This window comes from Homo sapiens, chromosome 18 (assembly GCF_000001405.40).
Source record: "Homo sapiens chromosome 18, GRCh38.p14 Primary Assembly".
Classification (NCBI taxonomy): Eukaryota; Metazoa; Chordata; class Mammalia; order Primates; family Hominidae; genus Homo; species Homo sapiens.
The window spans coordinates 79,466,060-79,491,978 of NC_000018.10; the positions used below are offsets into that span (position 1 = coordinate 79,466,060).

At 59.2% G+C, this 25,919-nt stretch overlaps 1 protein-coding gene and 1 long non-coding RNA gene across 14 annotated transcripts in view, besides 1 other annotated feature; one reads left to right on the forward strand and one right to left on the reverse strand.

Moving 5' to 3' along the window:
- NFATC1 (nuclear factor of activated T cells 1) overlaps window positions 1-25,919 on the forward strand; it is a 133,394-nt gene that overhangs the window by 70,130 nt on the left and 37,345 nt on the right. For 4 of the 12 annotated variants that reach the window (NM_172390.3, XM_017025783.3, NM_001278675.2 and 1 more), the window contains one exon: window positions 1,391-3,956. In NM_172390.3, coding sequence (NP_765978.1) covers window positions 1,391-1,582 — 192 coding nt within the window. In that variant the 3' untranslated portion in view covers window positions 1,583-3,956. Of the gene's footprint in view, window positions 1-1,390; window positions 3,957-20,188; window positions 20,879-25,919 lie in introns of those variants that run through there. The other 8 variants (NM_001278669.2, NM_172387.3, NM_001278673.2 and 5 more) reach the window with 3 other exon arrangements.
- Window positions 3,260-15,287, reverse strand: LOC107985162 (uncharacterized). 2 transcript variants are annotated; one of them, XR_007066425.1, is made up of 3 exons: window positions 7,033-7,116; window positions 4,401-5,337; window positions 3,260-4,147 (listed from the first exon to the last, which is right to left on the reverse strand). It is a non-coding gene; the product is annotated as an uncharacterized LOC107985162 (long non-coding RNA). The 2 variants fall into 2 exon arrangements; XR_001753518.2 differs by having other exon boundaries at window positions 3,260-5,337; window positions 7,033-15,287.
- Window positions 3,968-4,471: an enhancer, noted in NCBI's record as "H3K4me1 hESC enhancer chr18:77230027-77230530 (GRCh37/hg19 assembly coordinates)". NCBI's record gives its function as "activates a minimal SCP1, AML or CMV promoter by ChIP-STARR-seq in primed H9 embryonic stem cells {active_cell/tissue: H9 hESC(primed)}" and the evidence as "EXISTENCE:reporter gene assay evidence [ECO:0000049][PMID:30033119]".

The following is a 25,919-nucleotide window of genomic DNA, read 5'->3' on the forward strand; positions in this document are numbered from 1 at the left end:
CTGGGCACAGGGCCCAGTGGGGTGGGGAGCAGGGGTGCGGGGAGGGCATGGCCCCTCTGCATGGGTGTCTGGGCCTCAGCTGTTTCATTATTTGTAAATGAAAGAGCCTGGACCTCAAGTTGTCTTCAGTTTTCTGTCTTTAACACTCTTAAGATTTCATTGTTAATGTGATTCAATCAATTTGGCTAAGTTAGGTGCTGAGCTATAATTAATTATTTTAACAAAAGAAGTAATACAATGGATTTTTCTCCTGCTTGTTAAACTAAGTCATATGATTATAAAAATGAAACTTTATAGATGCGACTCCCGCCAACCCTCTCCCCAGATACCAAGTGCCGCCCTCGGCAGGGATGCCTGCATCACCCCAGTCATTTAGGGTCATCAGGGGCCCGAGTAACGCTGGGGCCTGAGCACGCGGTTGGGGTCTCCGTGTCCCAGCCCCCCACCCAGCCCCGACCTCTGCGAACAGCGCCACACGTCCCATGGCTTGTGTTTCATGTGTATACTTGAAGGAGCATGAGTTTCGTAAACATGCTGCTGGCTGTTACATTAAAAACATGAGAAGGTAACGGCAGCCTCCACACGCCGCCCTCTGCTGTCTGTGCCTCCGTGCCCTTGGCTGTTCCCACCCCGGGGTCTGCGGGGGTCAGGGCCTGCCTCCTCTTCCTCAGTTGGAGTGAATTTGGGGTCTGACTGAGGGCCTCGGCCATCGTCAAATGTGACAAACACAGGCCCTCCCCAGAGACCGCGTCTCCAGGAAGCACCTGCTCCTCTGGGTTTCGCTGCAGTCACCTGAGCAGGTGCTGGGCCACCGAGCACTTCCATCACACAGTGGCTGGCGGCGGAGCCTTGGGTCGTTTTCTGAAGGTCACCAACCCTTTGGCATCAGAGCAGGCAGAGCCTTTTGCATCCCCGCCAGTCCCCTTGCCCAGGTGGCCCCGGGCAACCTCCACCCTCAGGCACCCGGTCCCAGTTCTGTTTACAGCTTCTCTTTTCCTGGCTTCTTTCCCCATATTGACAAGATTTCAGTCTTAGGTTGGTCTTGTCTGCTGTGCTGCTCTGAGGAAGCCTCTCGGCTCCTGGGTGTGCAAGAAGCCAAGGGCAGCCCCTTCCCTGTGAGCGTGCGTGTCCACACGCGTGTGCAGGTGGCACAGAGCATCCAGGGCTGTCATCAGCTGCTTCTGGACCGCCCAGGTGGCTGCTTGGGAGTTTACCGTCACGGCAGTCCTGTGCTGCCGTGGAAACGCGGGGTTGCCGTGTGGCCGCCGTGGAAACGCGGGGTTGCCGTGTGGCCGCCGTGGAAACGCGGGGTTGCCGTGTGGCCGCCGTGGCGCGGCAGCCATCGCCTGCCCGGTGCTGATTGTGCCTCCTGTGTGCCCTTCTCCTGTAGAATTCTCTGGTGGTTGAGATCCCGCCATTTCGGAATCAGAGGATAACCAGCCCCGTTCACGTCAGTTTCTACGTCTGCAACGGGAAGAGAAAGCGAAGCCAGTACCAGCGTTTCACCTACCTTCCCGCCAACGGTAACGCCATCTTTCTAACCGTAAGCCGTGAACATGAGCGCGTGGGGTGCTTTTTCTAAAGACGCAGAAACGACGTCGCCGTAAAGCAGCGTGGCGTGTTGCACATTTAACTGTGTGATGTCCCGTTAGTGAGACCGAGCCATCGATGCCCTGAAAAGGAAAGGAAAAGGGAAGCTTCGGATGCATTTTCCTTGATCCCTGTTGGGGGTGGGGGGCGGGGGTTGCATACTCAGATAGTCACGGTTATTTTGCTTCTTGCGAATGTATAACAGCCAAGGGGAAAACATGGCTCTTCTGCTCCAAAAAACTGAGGGGGTCCTGGTGTGCATTTGCACCCTAAAGCTGCTTACGGTGAAAAGGCAAATAGGTATAGCTATTTTGCAGGCACCTTTAGGAATAAACTTTGCTTTTAAGCCTGTAGTCCTGATGTGGTCTTTAAGGATGGTGAATGAGCTTTGTGCTGGGCGGACGTCCCCGAGACACTTCTCCAGGGGTAACTTCATCTCCTGGGACCACGGGCATCCAGGCTGGGGCACCTTCTCCTCAACCTGCCTGCCCCTCACCCGCCGTGGGAATGGCTCCTTTTCACTCATACAAAAAAAAAAAAAAATCATCTTACCTTTTTAACCTTTAGGGTGTTTTCTTAAAGAAAATACCATCCAGTTTGTTTCTTCAGTCCCTGAACCAGTAGAAGAGAAAGGCGTCCCCCACGCCATCCCCGGCTTCCTTTGTGGGTACAGGCCACTCCCCCCAGCTCGGAGAGGACAGAATTAGCAGTCATCCTGAATTTTACTGTATTTTGTGGGTACAGGCCACTCCCCACAGCTCGGAGGGGACAGTTAGCGGTCATCCTGAATTTTACTGTATTTTGGGTAAGCTTAGCTAACATCAATAATCTTTTTATATTGCTTTTTTTCTAAAAACTGCAGAGATTCCTGTCATCTGAGAGGGAAATTACACACTGGGCGCTAATTGCAAAAGCAGCTGCGTTCTCTTAGTAAAATCAGGGTGTTTTGGAAGGTTTCCATTTTCTCTGAATGTAAACAGCATTTGTAATAGACCAGATCCTAAGGAAGCCCTTGAATCCCCACGTTCACACCAAACTGTTGGGACTCCTTGTTTTTATCAGGCAAGCTCTGGAAAGGCCTCTCAAGATGTGGAAAATGGGGTTTTGCTGTAAAGTCGCTGTACCCTAAGAGTGTCTGTGAGACAGAGCTGCAGGGGTGATGTGCAGCCCCCAGCCCAGCCCTCGCGGGGAAGAGCCTCACGCTCTGTGACCCCCAGGATTGTGGGGAGGGCCTCATGCTCTGGGACCCCCGGGATTGTGGGGAAGAGCCTCATGCTCTGGGACCCCCGGGATTGTGGGGAAGGGCCTCACGCTCTGGGACCCCCAGGATTGTGGGGAAGAGCCTCACGCTCTGGGACCCCCGGGATTGTGGGGAAGAGCCTCACGCTCTGGGACCCCCGGGATTGTGGGGAAGGGCCTCACGCTCTGGACCCCCCTGGGGTTTACGTGGTCTGTGCCGCCCACACTTAGTGAGTCCAGCCCATTCTTGGAACAAAGTACAATATATCTTACAGAAGAAAATATTTTATCTTTTTCTGAAAATATAATGATTGAGTCCTAATTAAACTTCAAGCATGGTTGACCAGAAATTGAATGTTTTAAAGAAAACCTAGGCCTTATAGAGAAGGATTGCTTTCCAGAGCAGTGCATTAATTTTTTTCTTATTTGCTCAGCATGCGGCAGTCCCCACCGTGGGTTTGAGCAGCACTGACTTTAGCACAGATCACGTATCTCAGAGGCAGAAGGGGCGTGCGGGGAGCGTGCCTGCCCTTCACAGGTGGGAGGTGGCGGCCCCCAGGACCGTGGCCACAGCATGAAGCCGGTGGGGCTGAGCCGCTCCTGCTACCTCCAGTCCACACCCCACCTGGCAGCCGGCCGTCCTGTCCTACCAGCCACACTCCTGCCTCGATTGGCCCCGGCTCCCCTCTCAGCATTGTGCCCAGCGTGGACATCTCTCCTGCACCCCCTGCCCAGTGTCTCGGCTGCACCCTCCACCCCCCATCTGCTCCAGCATGGCTCAACGCAGGCCAGGTTCCCCAGGCTCACCCTGGGCACCAGCCTTCGCCCGTTCTCCCTCTCTTTGCCTCCGTCGTCTCTTCTCTCCTGGACGTAGCACCATAGTCCCTGGGTGACCATCCCAGGTCCCCACAAGCACACTGACCAGCCCCACCAGCCCCCAGGGGCTCCCCGGCTCCCTGTCACCCCACCTGGTCCTGGGGGCTGCGACCGCAACCTGCACCAGACTGTGAGCCCCTCAGGCAGAGCCCCCAGGCTGCCGCAGGGCGAGATCCCCAGTGTTGACGCTGGGCCTACCTCGAGGCCACTGTCAGTGTGGTTGTTAAATAAATAATGAATAGAAACCAGCACCCAGGTATCCGTGTTCCGTCCCGCGTGCCCGCTGCACTTCCTGCCTCTGCAACCCCGGCTGGGTCTGAGGACGCCGAGGCCGCTCCAGGACCTGCGTCCTCCGTGCTGTGCATCTGTGTCTTGGGGTCCAGCTCAGATGGCTTCTGCCATGTGGTCCGAGAGATAGTTGCCAGCTCTGCTTCTGCCGACCCTGGAGGTGGAGGCAGGACGGGTGGGTGTGGGTGGAAGACAGCTGCTTAGCAAGCACCGCCCTGACTCAAAGCTGCTCTTGGCTTTTTCCCTTTTCTACACCGTCATCATGGGGTCGTTAGCAGTCTAGGTTTCCGCTGTGCCGATGAGCTTCGGGTCTGCATGCCCGGGGGTCACGGCAGTGAGGGGCGGACTCCTAGGGTTGTGAAATGTGCCGTTGAAATGCACAAGGTGACAACAGTGAACCCACTTACACTCCAGCTGTGGAATTCATTTCACGTACATGTTTGTAAAGTCAAGTCTCATTGTAGGTTTTCCTTCAAAATTGCCATCCCCACAGGCAGCACAGGGAGGCCCCTCCGAGAGCTCCAAGCATTTGGAATCCAGGTGCCCGAGGTGTCCGGTGCTTGTGGGGGGCGGGCTGGGGACACGCCTTGGCCACCAGCCGCCCGCACTCCTCGTCTCAGTGCCAAAGGCATCCTCCGATGACTCGGCCGAAGATGAGCTCAGTCCGCAGCCCCTGTCCCGGCCCCGCCTCCCGTCTTCAGGGGGCCTCACGTCTCCTTTTGAGTCAGAAGGTCGCAGTGGTCGGCCTCCGGGAATCAGGCATCTGAGTGCAGGGGGCCCCCGGGCTCAGGTGGGGCTGACACCTCTGGCTGATGGTCTGTGATGGGGCCCAGAGGGAGAGTTCCCTTCACCCTCCCTGGGGCGGGGGGCAGGCATTAAATGGGGAGAAGTTCCCAGCAGAATGTATGAGCCCCATGAACGGAGTGGGCATAGCCCTCGGGGAGTCCTGCCGGCCGCCCCTCCTGACATCCCGGGGTGCTGCCCGGTGAGGAAAGTGAAAATGTTGTCTGCAGTTAGAGGCTGGAACACACATGCCCACAGAGAGGCTTCCTGAGCGGCTTGTCTGTCACTGTTTTTGTGTAACTGCGCCTGAATTTAATCTCCCGGAAGGCGCGTTAGGAGGGCTGAGGGATGATCTGGTGCCAGGAAGGTTGGCAGTTCCGAGAGGTTATTCCAGCACGTCAGCATTAAAGGAGAGAGGCGAACCTGGAACGTGGGAACCCTGCCCAGGTCTGGTTAGAAAGGCGGCGTCCGCGTGGCCTGGGGCTTGTGTGAGGGGTGCACTTGTGCCCCCAGATACAAGCAGGCAGGGCCGGGAATCTGTCTCGTGGGGGGCTGCGGGCACTTTGGAGAAAGAAAACCAAGTTACAAACTCAAAATTACCTACCAAAGTCAGTATTTTTTTAAACGAGAAAATAAAACATGACAAATGCCAGGTCTTTTTGTCTGAAGTCGTTTTAGTCGGTTACCTGGAAACGCTCCCAGGGCCCCTGAGCTGGGGACACGGAGCTCTTCCCCCATCAGTGCCCAGGAGAAGCTGCTCCCGGCCCTAGGTCCCTGTGGGAACACACAGCCAGCCCTGCCTCTGTGGGGGTCCCTTTCGTGGCCAGAGCCCCCTTCCTCAGGGGACACGCGGTCCAGCTGAGGGTCATCCCGTGACAAGGAGTGGCTGCTGTGATGACCCAGGCACAGAAACAGCTTTGACCACAGAACGTGACATCCAGGGTGTGAAGGTGTCGGAACAGATCTGCCTCGGGATCTGGGGGTCCTTCACCAGGGGTGGGCGTGGGCCCCGAGCCCAGACAGGAGCCAGCTGGAGACTCAAACGTCACGAAGAAGGGAAGACGCGCTTCCCTCCCCCGGTACTAACCAGCCCTTCTGCTGGCCCTGCAACGATGACCTAGGCTTGAGAATCTGTTTCTGCCTCAAGGGGTAGAAAGGGGAATAGATTCCATTACTTCCCTGTTTGCAATGGATTATTAAATCCAGCAATAACTGTGGCATCGGAGAGGTGTTGGTACAGAGGGAGCCGGGGTCCTGTGGCCTTGGGTCCACCCCAGCGATCATCACGGGAGAGAGCTGCTTAGGGTGTGAGCCGTGGGGGGGCGGGGGGCGGCTGTGAAACTGAGGTCCCCGTGCACAGATCCCACCACCCAGGGTCGACAGCTGGGGGCTTTCTCTGCTGGCACTTCCCAGGCAGCAGAACCGGCCCCTCTAGGAAGCCCCCTCCAGGTGGCGTGGCCCAGGCCCTCAGTAAGCTCAGCTGGGGCTGTGTGAGCTGAGGGGCTCAGAGCACCCCACAAGGGATCCGCCTGATTGCAGACAAGCAGTTCTGGGCCGCCGCCCGACCTCCATGCCCTTCTGCTCAGCCCGGCAGCCTCTCCTTCCCAGGGGTTTCCCATTCTGCCTTTTCCCTGGACTTTCCAACTCACTTTGTCCAAGTCCACTGCATGTAAAGCTTGATCCTGAAACAGTGAAGTTCTTGAGGTCTCTGCAGATGCTCAGCGGCCCCAAATCACCCTTTCGCTGCCATTGGCCAAAAGCACAGCCTGGGTGGGCCTTGAACACCTGTGGCCTCTTCCCCTCCCCCTCCCCTCACCCCACACACTTGGAGACACCCTGGGGCTGGGCCTGAGCTCGGCTCTCACTGCAGAGTAAACCTGCCCACCTCAGACACCCAGGCATGGCTCCCGCCTTCCCTCATCTGATCCTGCCACCGTGGCGGCTGCCTCCAAGCTCCTGACAACGTCAGGTCAGCCCTGGCCTCGCGGCGCTCTGGGTTTCAGCCTTAAGAGACTTTCCATGTGTCGGCTGTGGGCACCTTGACGCACCAGGGCCTGGTCACAGGTTCTCAAAGCAGAGATTCTCCTGGCACCCCTCGTGCGCCCTCCAAGGGCCTAAAACGCAGACGACCCACACTCCATGCCATGTCCTGCACAGGAACCAGGGTGGCCTCCCCTTTCTGCAGCTTGTGGGGGTCAAGCCGGGACCCCTACACTGATGTTTCAGCCCAGCTCTGCCGCAGCTTAGAAGTCCTACCTGATTTCAGACAGAGCGGATGATGCTGACATTTCCAGCCCACAGCGTGGCCTGCGCCACGCTCCAGGTCGCCACAGGGGTGAGAATTCTGGGAGCCCAGCTGCCGAGTGCTTCTGGGGTTGGAGCTGGGCTGGCCCCACCTGTGAACAGCGGCCTGTGGGCCCCTCATCCCTGTTCTACTGAAGGCCCCACAACCACCTGAGGGAGACAGCTTTTATTAAATTTCAGTTTTTGTCGGTTGCCTCGCTCTTCAGACGGCAAGTGAGAGAAGCGTGTTCTCACGCTTACTGTCAACGTTGCGAGGGAAGCGTGTTCTCATGCTCACTGTCAACATTGTAAACCTGAGGGAAGCGTGTTCTCAGCTCATTGTCGACGTAAACCCCAGGGAAGCGTGTTCTCACGCTCACTATCGACGTAAACCTGAGGGAAGCGTGTTCTCGCGCTCACTGTCGACGTAAACCTGAGGGAAGCGTGTTCTCGCGCTCACTGTCGACGTTGTAAACCTGAGGGAAGCGTGTTCTCACACTCACTGTTGACGTTGCAAGGGAAGCGTGTTCTCGCGCTCACTGTCGACGTTGTAAACCTGAGGGAAGCGTGTTCTCACACTCACTGTCGACGTTGCAAGGGAAGCGTGTTCTCACACTCACTGTCGACGTTGTGAGGGAAGTGTATTCTCACGCTGTCGACATAAACCTGAGGGAAGCGTGTTCTCACGCTCACTGTTGACGTAAACCTGAGGGAAGTGTGTTCTCACACTCACTGTCAACGTTGTAAACCTGAGGGAAGCGTGTTCTCACACTCACTGTCGACGTTGTGAGGGAAGCGTGTTCTCACGCTCACTGTCGACATTGTAAACCTGAGGGAAGCGTGTTCTCGCGCTCACTGTCGACGTTGCGAGGGAAGCGTTTTCACACTCACTGTCGACGTAAACCTGAGGGAAGCGTGTTCTCACGCTCGCTGTCAACGTAAACCTGAGGGAAGCGTGTTCTCACGCTCACTGTCGACGTTGTAAACCTGAGGGAAGCGTGTTCTCACGCTCGCTGTCGACGTTGTAAACCTGAGGGAAGCGTGTTCTCACGCTCGCTGTCGACGTAAACCTGAGGGAAGCGTGTTCTCATGCTCACTGTCGACGTAAACCTGAGGGAAGCGTGTTCTCGCGCTCACTGTCGACGTAAACCTGAGGGAAGCGTGTTCTCACGCTCACTGTCGACATTGTAAACCTGAGGGAAGCGTGTTCTCGCGCTCACTGTCGACGTTGTAAACCTGAGGGAAGCGTGTTCTCACGCTCACCGTCGACGTAAACCTGAGGGAAGCGTGTTCTCTCACTGTCAACTTTGCAAGGGAAGCGTGTTCTCGCGCTCACTGTCGACGTTGTAAACCTGAGGGAAGCGTGTTCTCACACTCACTGTCGACGTTGCAAGGGAAGCGTGTTCTCACACTCACTGTCGACATTGTGAGGGAAGTGTATTCTCACGCTGTCGACATAAACCTGAGGGAAGCGTGTTCTCACGCTCACTGTTGACGTAAACCTGAGGGAAGTGTGTTCTCACACTCACTGTCAACGTTGTAAACCTGAGGGAAGCGTGTTCTCACACTCACTGTCGACGTTGTGAGGGAAGCGTGTTCTCACGCTCACTGTCGACATTGTAAACCTGAGGGAAGCGTGTTCTCACGCTCACTGTCGACGTTGCGAGGGAAGCGTTTTCACACTGTCGACGTAAACCTGAGGGAAGCGTGTTCTCACGCTCGCTGTCAACGTAAACCTGAGGGAAGCGTGTTCTCACGCTCACTGTCGACGTTGTAAACCTGAGGGAAGCGTGTTCTCACGCTCGCTGTCAACGTAAACCTGAGGGAAGCGTGTTCTCACGCTCACTGTCGACGTAAACCTGAGGGAAGCGTGTTCTCACGCTCGCTGTCGACGTAAACCTGAGGGAAGCGTGTTCTCACGCTCACTGTCGACGTTGTAAACCTGAGGGAAGTGTGTTCTCACACTCACTCGACGTGAGGGAAGCGTGTTCTCACGCTCACTGTCGACATTGTAAACCTGAGGGAAGCATGTTCTCACACTCACTGTCGACGTTGTAAACCTGAGGGAAGCGTGTTCTCACGCTCACCGTCGACGTTGTAAACCTGAGGGAAGTGTGTTCTCACGCTCACCGTCGACGTTGTAAACCTGAGGGAAGCGTGTTCTCACGCTCACTGTCAACGTTGTAAACCTGAGGGAAGCGTGTTCTCACGTTCACTGTCAACGTTGTGAGGGAAGGGTGTTTTCACGCTCACTGTCGACGTTGCGAGGGAAGCGTGTTCTCACGCTCACCGTCGACGTTGTAAACCCGAGGGAAGCGTGTTCTCACGCTCACTGTCAACGTTGTGAGGGAAGGGTGTTTTCACGCTCACTGTCGACGTTGCGATGGAAGCGTGTTCTCATGCTCACCGTCGACACTGTAAACCTGAGTGAAGTGTGTTCTCACGCTCACTGTCGACGTTGCGAGGGAAGCGTGTTCTCATGCTCACTGTCGACGTTGTGAGGGAAGCGTGTTCTCACGCTCACTGTCAACGTTGTAAACCTGAGGGAAAGGAATTCTCTCTCACATGCTGTGGGGTGCTGGCCCCACCAGGCCTCCCAGGAGACCTCCCCAAAAGTCAGAAGAAGGGCTCCAATTGAAAGGGAGGTCCGAGATGTGCTCGCCAAAACCACCCCCAGCAAGACGCCAGGCATCCTAGCCACCCGACGCTCAGGCCGTGCGTGTCCTCAGAGCGTGTTTTAAAGCAGGAGGGATTTGGGGTGGAAGATTGCTCCTGCAGAAATCAGAGATGAGGGGAGTAAATTAGGGAACCAGCGTCAGGATCCAGACTTCTGTGAAAGAGCCACAGGGCTCAGCATCCGACGGGCGCACCTGGGGCTGGGCGAGTCTGGCTCCAGAAGGGGGGTGGGGCCGGGAGCCTGAGATGGGATGAGAGGGCGGGAAGGGGCTTGTTGAGAAATCTAAGGGCCACGGGCCACCAAAAACAAACCAGGAGGTGTGAGTCAGTGGGGAGGCTGGGTGCCAGGAAGCCTGCGCTCTGGGACATGCGTGGGGCAAGAGGGGCGCCCTGAGCTTGGCGACGCCAGCCGCGCGCCTGGGAGGGATCCGCCTGTCCACGTGCAGCCGCCTCCGGGCGGCGTCGGCCATGCTGCTGCCCCACCGTGGCTCTGTGGCTCCAGCCGGAATGGCAAAGCCTGGCTCCACAGCTGCCTGGGAGCGTGAGTCACGCGCCCCACAGAACACGGCGGGCAGCGCGGGCGAGGATTGGCGAAAGCCGACCGATGTGTTTTGGCTTGTGTGGTCTGTGGGAGCGTCCTTTGTCATCAGCCTAATTGGGCAACAGATCCCACCTCACTGTGCCCTGGAGCAGCACGGGGCCACCACACAGCCTGAGGCCCCACTTGCGCTTCCCCTCGCTGCCGTGCTGTCCTGGCCCCGTCGCTGCCACCTGAGACCCCCATCAAGTACCTGAGCTCTGCGTCTGTTTTCACGCTTCTGTATGTGTAGGAAGCCCCCCACCGATGTTGCTCGGGGTCGACGTGATAAACCTGAGGGAAAGGGAATTCTCTCACCCCGACCGACACACAGGATGGGTGTGGGGGCAAAGTGAGATCATGAACAAAAGCATCTGGGCCCGTCCTGGACACATGGCCAGGGTTAGCCACGGTTGTCAGCCTCCACGGAGCTGCAGTTTCAGCCTGGAGGTCTGTGGCGTGCATGGTTGGAATACTCACCAGACTCACGTGGTCGTGACTCCGGAAGATCATGCCTTCCTGGAAACCTTGGAACGCGCTTCAGCAGAAACTCCAGTGAAGAGTCGGTGAGAGAGCACAAATTCCCAAAGGCGGATGGAGTTCGGAAGGACCCTTCTCTGTCTCCCACATCAGGCGGTGCCTGGTTGGTGCAGATTTACCCCATGGTGGGCCGTGGATCCCTCACCTGCTCTGGAAACTGATCTTGGCTCTGAACAAGGAGAAATGATGCCTCTCAGCCTCGAGGGATGGGTGATAAGGCAGCTTCATCCGCTGTTTTCTTTCATTGTTTGAGAAAAGTCATGCCCCGGAGGTGTCATTCCTGGTTGTTTATGTTGATGGCAAAACTTGGACTTTCTTGTCATACAGCAAACAGAAGACAATCTGATCTTTGTTTTCCAGGGGTTTAGACTTTGAACAAAACCTCTTTTGTCCAGTACTGTAGTGCATCCCTGGTAGAGTAATTCAAGCTGAACACAAGGTTGCATAAAAATGTGGGCATGGGGGAGCAGGGAACTGTCTTGGGATCATTCTTTGCTGTGCACAGCAGCTGCAGCCTGCAGGCAGCTCAGCGTTAGATCTCCCCACCCCCAATGCCACCTGGGGACCAGATGTTACTGTTGGCGGAAGAAGGGGGTCCGGGGCACTGTCTCAGTCTTTGGGGCTTCCATGGTGGAGCACTACCGGCCGTACTGTTGGTGGAAGAAGGGAGTCCGGGGCACTGTCTCAGTCTTCGGGGCTTCCATAGTGGAGCACCACCGGCCGTACTGTTGGCAGAAGAAGGGGGTCCGGGGCACTGTCTCAGTCTTTGGGGCTTCCATAGTGGAGCACCACCGGCTGGGCACCTTGTAAACAACAGACATTGATTTCTCACAGCTCTGGGGGCTGGAAGTCCGAGGTTGGGACTGGTACGGTCGGGTTCTGGTGAGGACCATTCCAAGTTGCAGACAGCCAAAATCCTGCCATATCCTCACATGGCAGGACAGGCGATTTGTCTCTCCCTCCCTGTGGGACGGCAGTCCCGTTGGATCAGGGCCCCACCCTGATGACATTGTTTAACCCCCAGTTACCTCCTGCAAACACCACTCTCAAGTAGAGTCACGCGGACGGGGGTTAGGGCTTCAACATGAGGTTGAGGGGACACGAGTCCGTCCATAGCAGTGACCCCACTTGTCTAAAGCCACAGGGCTGAGCCTGCCCCCTGCCCCCCTGCCTGCCCATCCCCAGGCCCCCGTTCTTGCCCCCAGGCCCCCCCCCGCCCACCCCCAGGTGCTCCCTGTGCTGCAGACAGAGCCCCCGAGGAGCCAGGAGCTGCCGGGCACCAACCACACAGGAAGCCAACAGGTGGGGCAGGCTTGTGCCTGCCACCGTGTTGCTCATGCCGATTTTTATTCTCAGATCTTGTCACCTCTGTCTTGTAGCAGAAGGGGGCCCTGATCTGGGAGCCGTGAAGACCCCAGCTGTCCCCCGGGAGCCAGGCCACACCAAGGCAGCCAAGGGGACTACGTTGGGAGGAGGATGTGGTCCGGGCCATTAAGAGCTGTGATGAGCCCCCAGGTCTGCCCTGGGTGAGGGGCTCTGCCTGCCCTGGGGCTGCATAGACCCGGCTGGGGCTTTAGAACAGGAACCGTTCGAGGGGCTGCGGTGGGTGAAGCCCACTCATGTCCTGGCTCCTGTTACCGGGTAGGGATGGCAGCCCATTTTCCAGGCTTGGGGGTTCTTTAAGAGGCCAGGATTGTGCCGAATGCTCTTTGGCTGACGATGGCCGTGGCGGGGGCTTTGGGAGGGGAGGTCCTGGAGGAGAGGCTTGCCCAGCTCACTGCCTGCGTCTGTGGCCAGAATTGGCACCTGCATGGGGCCTGGAAACGTCGTGCTCACCTGGGGCGGAAGCCCCCCTCCAGGACTCAGCTCCCAACGTCACTGCTACCGAGGCAGAGACTCTGCAGCGGCATCAGAGAGAAGCTGGGCCCCAGAACAGCACCAGGCATGGGACGGGCCCTCCGTGCCTTCCACGGAGGATGCAAGCGTGAGGCCTGGGTCTGCGGGGACGGTTTACCTGTCAGCTCTGCACGCCGCTGACCACTGCGCGCCGCCTCCACAGACAGTCCCCATGGACGCTGGGGCTGCCGTGGACGATGGGGCAGCCATCATGGACAACGGGACTGCCATGGACACCGCAGCCAGCCTGCTCTGTGGGAATATGCTTTGTAAAGCCAGCCGGCCCTGAGGCCAGCACTCGCCTTCCACACTCTGCTCTTTGTAACGAGTTTCATAAACTCACCCTCAGGTGATTGGTGTTTCTGTTGCACCGTTGCTTAGCCTGAAAATGAGCTGCCCTTTTTCTGAGCCCATCCTTTCGCCACCTCTACCCCAGCCCCTCATGGCTGATATCAGGAGGTAGCCAGAGGCCGCCTGGTGCAGGGTGAGCCCGGAACACGGGCAACAGCTTGAACTGGGCCTGTGCGGCCCCCTCCACGGGCGACAGCGTGAACTGGGCCTGTGCGGCCCCCCTCCACGGGTGAGACTCCCAGGCGCTCTTGCAGACGCTCACTCACTTTCTCACTGATAGGATGCGTCTTACGAGGCTCTGATTTACAGAGCAGGCATCCATCTTCTCTGAAACCCACACAAAAAGCACAGTTTAGGCCAAGCCCAGGTGCAGTATGTTCGTGTGTTTAAGCTTCTTAGATGCTGGGGTGTGGAAGCAGCCGTGTGGCTTTCCTTTGCTTGTGAAGGTGAGTTTGCACTTTCCAGCTTCTCTCTGTATTGGGAAGGCTGCAGCTCTCCAGGACATGACTTAGCAGAGAACATCCCGCTGCATCCTCATAGGCCAGCGGGTCAGGCGGGGCCATTCTGAAACGTCCCCTGTGGGTGCCGGGTGCCTCGCGCATCCCTGCCGTCCACCGCCCTTTGTCCCTGGCTGTGCTTCGCGGCAGTGCCCCTTAGGGCAAGGACAGGGAGATGGGGCAGTCGCCTGGGGAAGGCCCGGTCCCGGTGGGAGGCAGCCTCAGAGCAGCTGGGATGGCACAAGACGCCGCTGCCAGGGCTGAGAAACCATCCGGCCAACCCCAGACTTGAGCCAGACTTCATGGGCAAGGCTGGGAGAAGCCGCGTGGAGACCCCAGCCCAGGGAGGGGCACTGTGGCAGGAACAGGGCCCGCACCTGCAGGGTCAGCCCAGGCCACCTTCCAAGCACGGTGACCACGTCGCAGCTCATGCTGCCAGCTCCGGGCCAAGGGACCTGGACTGGCTCTCCAGACTCACAAGATGCCGTCGTGGGTGGGGCACGTGCGGTGATCCCAGGTTTCAAGTAGCTGCCCCCAGCTCCCTGCAAATAGCTCTGGGCGGAAGAGAAGCAGTGGGCAGGCACACGAGTTTATTCCTGAGAGGAGCGTGTTGCCACAGCCTCTGTGGACTGGAGCCCCAGGCTTCAGAAAGAGAGGGAGCGCCTGCCTGTGGGTGGGGGGACAGGAGCTGCCAACCTGGCGGGGTCCCAGCGAAGCGTCCACTGGGCCTTCTGCTTGCCCCTGGGGGTGGTGGATGCATCAGTGCTGGGCCTGCTCCGAACCCGCAGGGCAAGCAGCCCGTGCGTCCCGATGCCACTGCCGGCCGCCAGCATCCTGGGGAGGTGGGTCGCGTGTCCCAGAGCCCTGTGCCCCTCGCCACCACCATCCTAGGTCAGGACTTCCCCAGGAAGAATCCAAGTGGCTGGAGAGATGCGGGGGTTAATGCCGGTACCACCGCGGTTTTAAACGGGGCCGTGTCTGAGCCGTGTTCTTGACGTTCTCCAGCCAGCAGCAGCAGACGCCACCCGGTTGCCCCAGCCCCAGCGGCTCTCGGGCATAGCCGGCCTTGGCCCGTGGGGCGGCTGATTTACAGGACAGCTGTGCACGGGGCCTCTAGTGTCCGCCAGAGCTGGTGGGTGAGAGTTTTTAAAGCGCTCGGGACACTTCACAGAAGAGGCGCACTGGCCCCCATGCCTGGCCATGTTTCTGGGCCCTGGCTGAAAATCCCGAGCAGCGGAGAGAGGATCCCAACAGGGTATTAATTTAACCTTCCAGCCATGTGCTTTTGCTTAAGATCTAAACTCTGAAAATTACCAGCCTAATTTAGAATGGAGGCTTGGCCATTCGGGACACCAGCATCTTCTGAGCGGGAGAGATGTGGGTGCCCACCGGCGTCTCACTCCCACATCTGGGCCTGTTTCCAGTGACCCCTGCACCTCTCAAAGGCGCAGGCCTGAGTTCACAGAGAGCACTTGGCCAAGCCCTGCCTCTGGGGCTCCCCATCGTCTGGCTTTGTCGTGGACTCATCATTTCTGGATTTACCACATGCTTCAAGCTGGAACAGCAGGAAGGGGCAGTTCCTGAGGCCCAGCTGCGTCCGCAGAGCTGGGGGCGCCATGGCCTAAGGCAAGACGCGTGCCCTGGATGAAAATGACTCCAGCTCTGTAGTCTCCAGACAGCGGTTAGAGCCCCACCCTCCACGGACACCGCCTCCTGCCACCCCTTCAAAAAAGTGTTGCAGCCCAGGGCCCAGATATTCAATTTTCTAATGTAAAACGAGGCGGGTAGGGTTTCCCAATCAACATGAGGGCGCCGTGTCCTCTGCAGCCCCCTGACTTGCACAGGCAGTCCTGGGGCTCTGCCCCATCTGTGAACCCTCAGCTGAAGAGGGCAGCCCCAGAGGCAGCCACATTCAGGTGGCTGAAGGCAGAGTCCTCCTCCCAGGAACCGCCTCGGCGCTGCCAAGGCCTGTGCACCTTCTTCAGCCCGAACTAAGGAGAATGTGCGGGACTGAGAGCCATAGACCCTCGTGAGCCAGGCTTGAGCGTTGTCTTCAGATGGGGCCCAGTGGGCCTCACTGTTGTGACGACTGAATGTGACGTCTGGGGTGTAATTCCAGCGTGACCTGGTCCTGGGGTGTCACTCCAGCGTGACCTGGTTCCTGAGGTGTAATTCCAGCGTGACCTGGTTCCTGGGGTATAATTCCAGCGCGACCTTGTTCCTGGGGTGTCATTCCAGCGTGACCTGGTCCTGGGGTGTCATTCCAGTGTGACGTGGTCCTGGGGTGTCACTCCAGCATGACCTGGTTCCTGGGGTGTCATTCCAGCGTGACCTGGTCCTGGGGTGTCATTCCAGTGTGACCTGGTTCCTGGGGTGTCATTCCAGCGTGAGCTGTTTCCTGGGGTGTCATTCCAGCATGACCTGGTTCCTGAGGTGTAATTCCAGCGTGACCTGGTCCTGGGGTGTCACTCCAGCATGACCTCGTTCCTGGGGTGTAATTCCAGCGTGACCTGGTCCTGGGGTGTAATTCCAGCATGACCTGGTTCCTGGGGTGTAATTCCAGCGTGACCTGCTCCTGAGGTGTCACTCCAGCGTGACCTCGTTCCTGGGGTGTAATTCCAGTGTGACCTGGTTCCTGGGGTGTAATTCCAGCGTGACCTGGTTCCTGGGGTGTCATTCCAGCGTGACCTGGTCCTGGGGTGTCATTCCAGTGTGACGTGGTCCTGGGGTGTCACTCCAGCATGACCTGGTTCCTGGGGTGTCATTCCAGCGTGACCTGGTCCTGGGGTGTCATTCCAGCGTGACCTGGTTCCTGGGGTGTCATTCCAGCATGAGCTGTTTCCTGGGGTGTCATTCCAGCGTGACCTGGTCCTGGGGTGTCACTCCAGCGTGACCTGGTTCCTGAGGTGTAATTCCAGCGTGACCTGGTCCTGGGGTGTCATTCCAGCATGACCTGGTTCCTGGGGTGTAATTCCAGCGTGACCTCGTTCCTGGGGTGTAATTCCAGCGTGACCTGGTCCTGGGGTGTAATTCCAGCATGACCTGGTTCCTGGGGTGTAATTCCAGCGTGACCTGCTCCTGAGGTGTCACTCCAGCGTGACCTCGTTCCTGGGGTGTAATTCCAGCGTGACCTGGTCCTGGGGTGTCACTTCAGCGTGACCTGGTCCGGGGGTGTAATTCCAGCGTGACCTGGTCCTGGGGTGTAATTCCAGCGTGACCTGGTTCCTGGGGTCTCATTCCAGCGTGACCTGGTCCTGGGGTGTCACTCCAGCGTGACCTCGTTCCTGGGGTGTAATTCCAGCGTGACCTGGTTCCTGGGGTGTAATTCTAGCGTGACCTGGTCCTGGGGTGTCACTCCAGTGTGACCTGGTTCCTGGGTAATTCCAGCGTGACCTGGTCCTGGGGTGTCACTCCAGCGTGACCTGGTACTGGGGTGTAATTCCAGCGTGACCTGGTTCCTGGGGTGTAATTCCAGCGTGACCTGGTTCCTGGGGTGTAATTCCAGCGTGACCTGGTTCCTGGGGTGTAATTCCAGCGTGACCTGGTTCCTGGGGTGTAATTCCAGCGTGACCTGGTCCTGGGGTGTCACTCCAGCGTGACCTGGTCCTGGGGCGTCACTCCAGCGTGACCTGGTCCTGGGGTGTCATTCCGGCGTGACCTGGTTCCTGGGGTGTCATTCCGGCATGACCTGGTTCCTGGGGTGTCATTCCGGCGTGACCTGGTTCCTGGGGTGTCATTCCGGCATGACCTGGTTCGTGGGGTGTCATTCCGGCGTGACCTGGTCCTGGGGTGTAAGTCCAGCGTGACCTGGTTCCTGGGGTGTCACTCCGGCGTGACCTGGTTCCTGGGGTGTCACTCCGGCGTGACCTGGTCCTGGGGTGTCACTCCGGCGTGACCTGGTCCTGGGGTGTCACTCCGGCGTGACCTGGTTCCTGGGGCGTCACTCCGGCGTGACCTCGTTCCTGGGGCGTCACTCTGGCGTGACCTGGTCCTGGGGTGTAATTCCAGCGTGACCTTGTCCTGGGGTGTCACTCCAGCGTGACCTTGTTCCTGGGGTGTAATTCCAGCGTGACCTGGTCCTGGGGTGTCACTCCAGCGTGACCTCGTTCCTGAGGTGTCACTCCAGTGTGACCTCGTTCCTGAGGTGTCACTCCAGCGTGACCTGGTCCTGGGGTGTCATTCCAGCGTGACGTGGTTCCTGGGGTGTCACTCCAGCGTGACGTGGTTCCTGGGGTGTCACTCCAGCGTGACCTGGTTCCTGGGGTGTCACTCCAGCGTGACCTGGTTCCTGGGGTGTCACTCCAGGGTGACCTGGTCCTGAGGTGTCACTCCAGCGTGACCTGGTCCTGGGGTGTCACTCCAACGTGACCTGGTTCCTGGGGTGTCATTCCAGGGTGACCTGGTCCTGGGGTGTCATTCCAGTGTGACCTCGGCGGCACTTGCAGGGTGGGGTGGCTGACGAGGCGGGGGGAGCACACCCGTTCTCCCTCCCCTGCCCTGGGCACCACTGCAGAGGCAGCCCCTGGCCTCATCCTCCAAGCTTCACAGCTTGGGCTGCACTCCCCGAGTTCACTGTGGCTGGACTTGCCCCAGGCCAAAGGCTGGGAATGCCTGGGCTGCAGAGCCCCAGGAAGGCCTGGCACGACCCTCAGCAGAGTGTGGCTTTATGGGCCCTGGTCAGTGAGCTGCAGGCTGCGTCCTGGGAAGGCCTTGGAATCACAATGGCCCCGTGATTTTCTTCCTGCCTCCTGGACGTCCCCACCTCCTGGTCACCCACCCCCTCTAAAACCTTAGCCTCCCTACTCTGTGTAGGGCGGACGCTTTAAACCTCGATGTTTCTACTCAGTGTGCAGGGCGGACGCTTTAAACCTCGATCTCCCCACTCAGTGTGCAGGGCGGACGCTTTAAACCTCGATCTTTCTACTCAGAGGGTGGATGATAGAAAGATTTGAATGAGTGAATGAAAGTAGAGACTTGAAAAGTCAGCACAAAAGCAACAAAATGCAGCAACTCCACTCGGAATCCCTGGGTGGAAAGCTCTGGTTGACTTCCTGCGGACTCAGGCTGGTGAGATCCTACAGCTGGGAACGGCCCATATGGGTCAGTCCCTGTGATGCCTCCAGTGTGGCGGGAAGGTGGCTTGGCCACCATGGATGACTCGCGCCTGCCTTCACGACCGCCGGGACCTGTGCGGGGGGGGAAGAGGGCGGCTGCAGGGGAGGCCGCACGTGGCACAGGTGCTCCGGCGTCTCGAGCTGCAGGAAAACGCCGTCTCCATCGTTCGCAGCTGCTGGTGGACTCCTCGGCACCCAGCCGTGGCGGGGAACAGCTGCATGGACTCACGGGCTCAAGCCCGGGGCTAAATATTTTCTCTCGAATTGTGGAAATGCTTTTGTTTACTGCAGGAGGCTGCCAGGCTCTCTGTGGTGGCGACTGTTTGCACCGGGAGCCTGTGTACTGGCTTTGGGGGCCACACATAGGCCCCCAGGTGGTGACAGGAGGGGAGTTTCCCTCCCTGTGGCCGACCCTGCTGCCAAAAACCCACCAGTGTGCAGCCCACGGGGAGGAGAAAACAGGCTGAGGAGACTCACTCACAGCTTGCTGTCTGCGTAGCATTCGCTCAGAGTGGCACCACGCGTCTGTTAGGAATGTATGTGCGCCATTGTGAGAGCTTTAGAGCCACTGAGCCGTCTGATGTCTCCTCTAAGTAGCACGAGAGGCCTGAGACCAACAGGAAAACAGCAACCGCAGGAATGCCGGCTGGGATCCGCCTCGCCGCTCCTGCTGACTGCACACCCTGCCTGTTTGCTTCCCAACACCCCCACAGAAGCCGGCACAAAGGCTGGGGTGGGCGTGGGCTGGGAGCCGGTGTCGGCTCTGGCCCGGGCCTGGCGGAGCAGCCTTGGGGACCCAGCACCCGCCCTGTGGGCTCTTCCCCAAAGCCCCGGACTTTTAGGGAGGGCTGGGTGGGAGAAAGCTCTAGAAACTCGGGAGCCCCCTGTTCCATCCAAGGCTGCCCGGTCACAGCCTCCACACAGCCTGTCCCTTTAGAAGGGGACTCAGGAGCACCGTGGAGGCAGTCCAGCCTCCATGACAGTGTTTTTCTTTCGCAGTGACGGACGGCTTCTCTCCTGGAGCAGTCGTTCACCTTTGCAGTTGGATTTTTACTGACTCCTGAAAGCCGTCTTGTTCTGTGTTCGAGTTTACCAAATGTGCAGACATTTATCAAACCGAGTGTCGGGAGCAGAAATGCAGTCGTGCATCCACGTTGAAACTTTCGCTTTGATTCCTGCAAACCCACAGGCCCCTGGGTCCAGGACTCCCACTGCAGTTTGCAAGTGGACTTTTATAGCACGTTAGTGCTGCAGGAGGTTCCAAGGAAAACAGTCCTCGCCAGTATTAGAACCAGCTGCTACTCTCTCGGCCGATGACTCACGCCTTTTTTTTTTAATGGGGTGGGAGAACCAGGCAGGAGACAGAGGGACCCAGTCAGGGCCCTGTTGGTTTTGCGGAGGGTGCCCCAGCCACAAGCCTGCCTGATCACACTCATTCGCAACTTGTGTTTATTTAATTTTTTTTTTCCTTCTCACAGTTCCAATTATAAAAACAGAACCCACTGATGATTATGAGCCTGCTCCAACCTGTGGACCGGTGAGCCAGGGGTTAAGTCCTCTCCCAAGACCATACTACAGCCAGCAGCTCGCGATGCCACCCGACCCCAGCTCCTGCCTCGTGGCCGGCTTCCCGCCCTGTCCGCAGAGAAGCACCCTGATGCCAGCGGCCCCTGGCGTGAGCCCCAAGCTCCACGACCTTTCTCCCGCTGCCTACACCAAGGGCGTTGCCAGCCCGGGCCACTGTCACCTCGGACTCCCGCAGCCGGCCGGAGAGGCCCCCGCCGTCCAGGACGTGCCCAGGCCAGTGGCCACGCACCCCGGCTCGCCCGGGCAGCCACCCCCGGCCCTGCTGCCACAGCAGGTGAGTGCGCCTCCAAGCAGTAGCTGCCCCCCTGGTCTCGAACACTCGCTCTGCCCCAGCAGCCCCTCTCCTCCACTCCCGCCTGCCACCCAAGAGCCGACCTGCCTGCAGCCCTGCAGCCCAGCGTGCCCGCCCGCCACGGGCCGCCCGCAGCACCTGCCGTCCACGGTCCGCAGGGACGAGTCTCCGACTGCCGGGCCACGGCTGCTGCCAGAGGTGCATGAGGACGGTAGTCCTAATTTGGCCCCTATTCCTGTAACGGTCAAGCGAGAGCCTGAAGAGTTGGACCAGTTGTACCTGGATGACGGTGAGTGCCCGCAGCCATGCAGGTGTGTGCCCCGCCTGGCGCCATGGCGTGAGCTCATGGAGGGGCCGTGTGCGTGCTGCGTGTGTGGCACGTGTGGAAGTGCACCGAGGCACCGGGCAGGGTGTGGGGTGCGTCCTCCTGATATAAAGTGCCCGTGCGGTGCCACGGCGTCAGCGCCACCTGGGGCGCTCGCCGTGAGATCTGCTCCGGTGGTCGCAGTGTGGGGCCCTTGGCGGGTCCTGGGCTGCAGATCCTCCTGCGAGACCTGTCCCGGGGTCTAAGGCTCACATTGGTGTCCAGGTTTGCTTCTGCAGCTGAATATGGAGCCGCACGGCTCAGGCTCAAAGCCCTGACTTGGAGAGGGACCGGCCTCTGCAGTCGGGGCATCGTGGGTGCCGCCTGAGTCCCGTGAATGGTTTGTAGACAACAGCTTAGCCGAGGTGACGAGCACGTTACCCCGTGCGGCTCTGTAAACACATCTAAATGCAGTGGCGGCCTTGCCAGGAGCTCGCAGGGTGGCCGTGACACCGGGGGCCCTAGACTGTGCCTTCAGGCCCCAGGTGCAGGGTCTTCCCCATCTAGCCCCTGGGCTCGCACAGCGCGGAGATGCACCCAACACCGCACACCTGGGGTTGTTAGGGAAGGAAGTGGCCTCACGTCTGTAGCCAGGCGGGTGGTGTGGGGCGTCTGAGCACTCAGGCCTTTCTGTGACGAGTGGTGACCGAAGGCGCCGTGGCGTTCTTCTCGACTGTTTACACTTTAAGGCGCAGCCCGACTTGCTTGCAGTCGCGCTGTGATCGGGGCGTGCCCGTGGCCCTGGTGACCACGCGTTAGAGGGTGATTCCGCTCGTGTTTTCTGGCCCTGCGGTTTGTGTGCGCGTTGTGATCGGGGCGTGCCCGCGGCCCTGGTGACCACGCGTTAGAGGGCGATTCCGCTCGTGTTTTCTGCTCGAATGGTTTGTGTGGGAATTGGCTTCATTTCCTCGGAGGCACAGTGAGTCCTCCCAAGTGTATGACGTTTCCCAGGCCCGGGTTCCAGCAGACACACCTGGAGCCACTGCCCACTCCCTGCTCAGTGGCCTGGGGTCCAGGCGAGCCTCGGCCTTCTGGGGAGGGGGCGGCATTAGCCCCTCCTGACCCAGGGGGGGCAGGGACTCCCGGGCGTCAGGAGCTCAGTTTCCCATCTGCTGGGAAGGGAGTGAGGCCAAACGCCTTCCTGCTGTTTCCTGACTGAAGGCTACAAGCTTTTTAAGGAGGATGCATGCAAATATTTTAGCCCCCAAAATATTAAGCTCTTGAGCCCACAGCCCTGGTGTGTGTGTGTTTGCGGTAGTGTGTCCCATGGAGCCCGCAGCCCTGGTTGTGTGTGTGTGTGTGTGTGTGTGTGTGTGTGTGTGTGAACTTGAGGTAGTGTGTCCCATGAAGCCCGCAGCCCTCATCGTCTGTTTTTGCAGGAGTGTGTCCCGTCAGCCCAGGAGGCTGCTGCCTCCCCAGGGCTGTCCCTCAGAGCCACACACTGGAGGCCCGTGGCTGCCCCCTGGCCACTCTCTGGAGGTTCATGATGACTGTGGGGCGGGGCCAGGACAGTGTTCCGTGTCCTGTGCAGATGTCGTCCTGAAGTTCTTACTGTCTGACCTGCCTGCTGTCCTCCTTGTCCACCCGCGAGGCCAGCCGGAGCTCCGCATGGGGCCCATGTCCCTGCTCTGCAGCCTCCTGAGCACAGATGGACTCTGCCTTCCTCCCCAGCCCCTGCGCGAGGTGGACGCTGACATCCATGCCTCCAGTCCCTCACCCCTGCTTTGTCTCACGCGGTACCAGGTGGTCCCAAGGCGGCTGGGAGATGCTGAGAAATTCTCTTTCCACCTGCCATGCCTTGTCCCAGTTGTGACCCACCAGCTCTGGGCTCCCACAATTGGGTAGTGCCCTGCAGGCCCAGGTGGGAAGCAGGTCCCGGTCATGTTTCTGCTGCCCTGTGGCCCACGTGTGGCTTTATGGCGAGGGTAGAGTTCGGGGTGGGACTTGGGGTGGGTGAGCAGCGGCAGTGCTGGGGGCTGGGACGTGTTCTGCGTCAACACAGCAGGCAGGGGACTGTTGACCCGCACGGTGCTCAGGTGAGATCATCCCTTTACCCAGCCCGTTACTGCCAAAGCCTCACCAGGTGGCCCGGGCCCCTCTGGCCTTGGTCCTAGAGGTCAAAGCTAAGTGAGCCAGGCCTTGCCTTGGGGCCTGGTGGGCCACAGAGGGTGGGCTGTTGTGTCGCTGAGTGCACAGGCTAGGGATGTTGGAGCTGCATGGGTGTGGGTGTGACCCCGCCCTGGCCTGCCTGACTGTGCGTGGACATGGAGGGGATGGGTCTTGGGGAGGGGAGTGCACAGACGACTCCCTGACACATGGAAGGGCTGAGGCCAGAGTGCATCTGCCATGGGGCTGGGCCTGGCCTGCAGCTCCTCTGAGGATGCCCAATGCCACGTTCCCATTGGGGCCTCTCCTGACAGCCAGTGGGACCCTGGAGCCCAGGATTCGCCAGCTGTAAAGCAGTCGCTCACACCCCTTTTAAGAAAGTTTGTTTCCCGGCGTGCTGCCGTCGGGACACTTGAGGACAACCTCTCCCCGCAGAGTGAGCTCAGTTCCCAGCGGGCCTCTCTCCCCATTTTCCTCACTCAGTTGCCGTGGTGATCCTCCCCAAACTCGGATCGAATGGGTCACGTCCTGTTCAAAAGACCCAGGGGTTTCTGTGTTGTCAGAGCAGACCACACCCCAGCCCACCAACCACAGTCATCTCGTCCACGTACGCTTCGTCAGGCCCAGGGCCGGTCCTGGGACCTTGAGCACAGACCCCGAGCGCCAGCCCTGCACACTGTTCTGGTCACAGTTTATGGGTCCTGTGTGCTTCTGCCTCCATAACCTGGGAGCAGCCACACACAAGCTTTCGGGGTTAGCGTACGGCGCTAGGCGGTGCCGCTTCGGGGGTCGGGGTTGGGATGGAGGTTGAGATACCTGTGCAGACACCTCCCTATGACATGGCAAGTGTGTGCAGGTAATGTGGTGATGTCCGTTTCATCTCCACCTGTGAGGTCCCTCGATGCTCAGCCAGGACCACAGCAGTTAGGGCTTCAGGCAGCTGGAAGCAGTGTCAGCTGTGGCCTGATCTCCCCCCCGCCCCCGCCCCCCCGTGGGCAGACAGCCCCTCTCGGTCCTTCACAGGCAGGCAGGCGGGGCGCATGGCAGAGGAAGTTCTGCTCGTGGTGTGTGTGAAGGGGAGGGGAGAGTCCTGGGGGCTGAGGTGGTGCAGGTGGGGTAGTGTCTGGTGCAGGCCCGGCTCTGGGTTAGGGTGGGGTGGTCCCTGGTGCAGGCCCCGCTCTGGGTTAGGACAGGGTGGTCCCTGGTGCAGGCTCAGGCTCTCGGTCATGGTGGGGTGGTCTCTGGTGCAGGCCCAGGCTCTGGGTCAGGATGGGGGTGTTCCCTGGTGCAGGCCCGGCTCTGGGTTAGGGCAGGGTGGTCCCTGGTGCAGGCTCAGGCTCTCAGTCATGGTGGGGTAGTCCCTGATACAGGCCTGACATTGCCGCCACCCTGGGAGACAGGCACCAGGCCATGGACTCCAGGTTCCTCCTGAGCACCTGGGGGCAGGTCCACCCACTCTAGACACCTGTTCCTCCCTGTGAGAAAAGCAGATTCAAATGTTTATTGCTCTGTCGGAGCCGAGTGGATGGAGCCTTCACTGAGAATGACACGGGCCGAGCCGTTTCCCGCGTCCTGGGTGGATGGAGCCGTAGATGGGTCGCTGCCTGTCCTTGTGAGAAGATGGCTGGAGCATCCACCAACATGGCCGGGAAGGGTCCCGGGTCAGGGTTGAGTCTGGGTCGGCCCCTCCCCTGCAGATGACCTCTGGCTTGCCCTGGGTCCCTGGAACCTGGAACCCACACCCCAGGCTCACAAACGCCGTGACATAAACGAGGTCAGGGCCTGGGTTATGTCGGGAAAGCCTCACGCAGGCTGAAGACCTGAATTGTAAGGTGGAACTCTGAGTCCCCGAGACTCCAGCTCCATGGAAATGCGGGGGTGTACCTGGGGACCGTCTCGATGGGGACAGCGGGAGAGGGAGCCCAGACCCCAACAAGCTCCATGGAAATGCGAGGAGCCATCTTGATGGGGACAGCGGGAGAGGGAAGGCAGGCTAGGGTGAATGTGGGTAGTCCTTGTTTAGTATTAATATATATTTTGTCTAATTTCACAACCCCTAAGAGAATCGGGCACCTCAGCAGCCACCCTGGGGCTCAGTCGCTGGCTTAGAAAGCAGGCAAGCGTGACCTGGAGTTCGGGGGCGGAGAAGAATAGGAAGCACAGGGCGCCCCAACAAGGGACGATCCCAGCACCTGGAGAAGGAGCAGAGACGAGAGACAGAAACAACACGAACCCCAGGTCAAGTCGGTGCCGTGCGTGCCAAGTGTCCTCAGCGGGTGGAAAGTGTCGCTGTGTCTTTGATAGTTTACACAACAGGGAGAGAGCGAAAAGCTGGGGTTGGAGGAAACAGGAGAGAAGTAAGGCTGTGTGGCGGGGACAAGACTCAGACACACCCCTGACTATCTGTAAATGGGCCGATCGGACACAAGGCCAGGGACCTCCTGGCCAGCCCCGAGCCCCGTGAGGTGCCTGTGGCAGGACGTGGGTATGGCAGGTGACAGAAGCCCTGCCGGGTCCACTTTCCAGCCTCCCCGGCTTCCCTTCTGCGTTCCGCTGGCCTGGCCGCCACCTCCAGGGACAACAAGCCTGGCATGGGGTGCAGATTTAGTCTCCAGCCCTCTGCGAACCAAGCAGTGGTGGATCGCAGAGCTGCGTGCGGGGAGAGGGGGAGACAGGCCAGCGTCTGGGATGTCCTCGTGGGGCCGGGGACTCAGCCCCGGCCCCTGGGCACCCAGCCATGTTTGAGAGGCTTCCCTCCGCCTGACCAGAATCAGAGCTGTGGGTCCATGAATTGAGTCACTTCAAGGTCTTGCTGCTTCACATGAACAGCTGTGCAGAGGCAGCCAGAGACAGCCCGGGG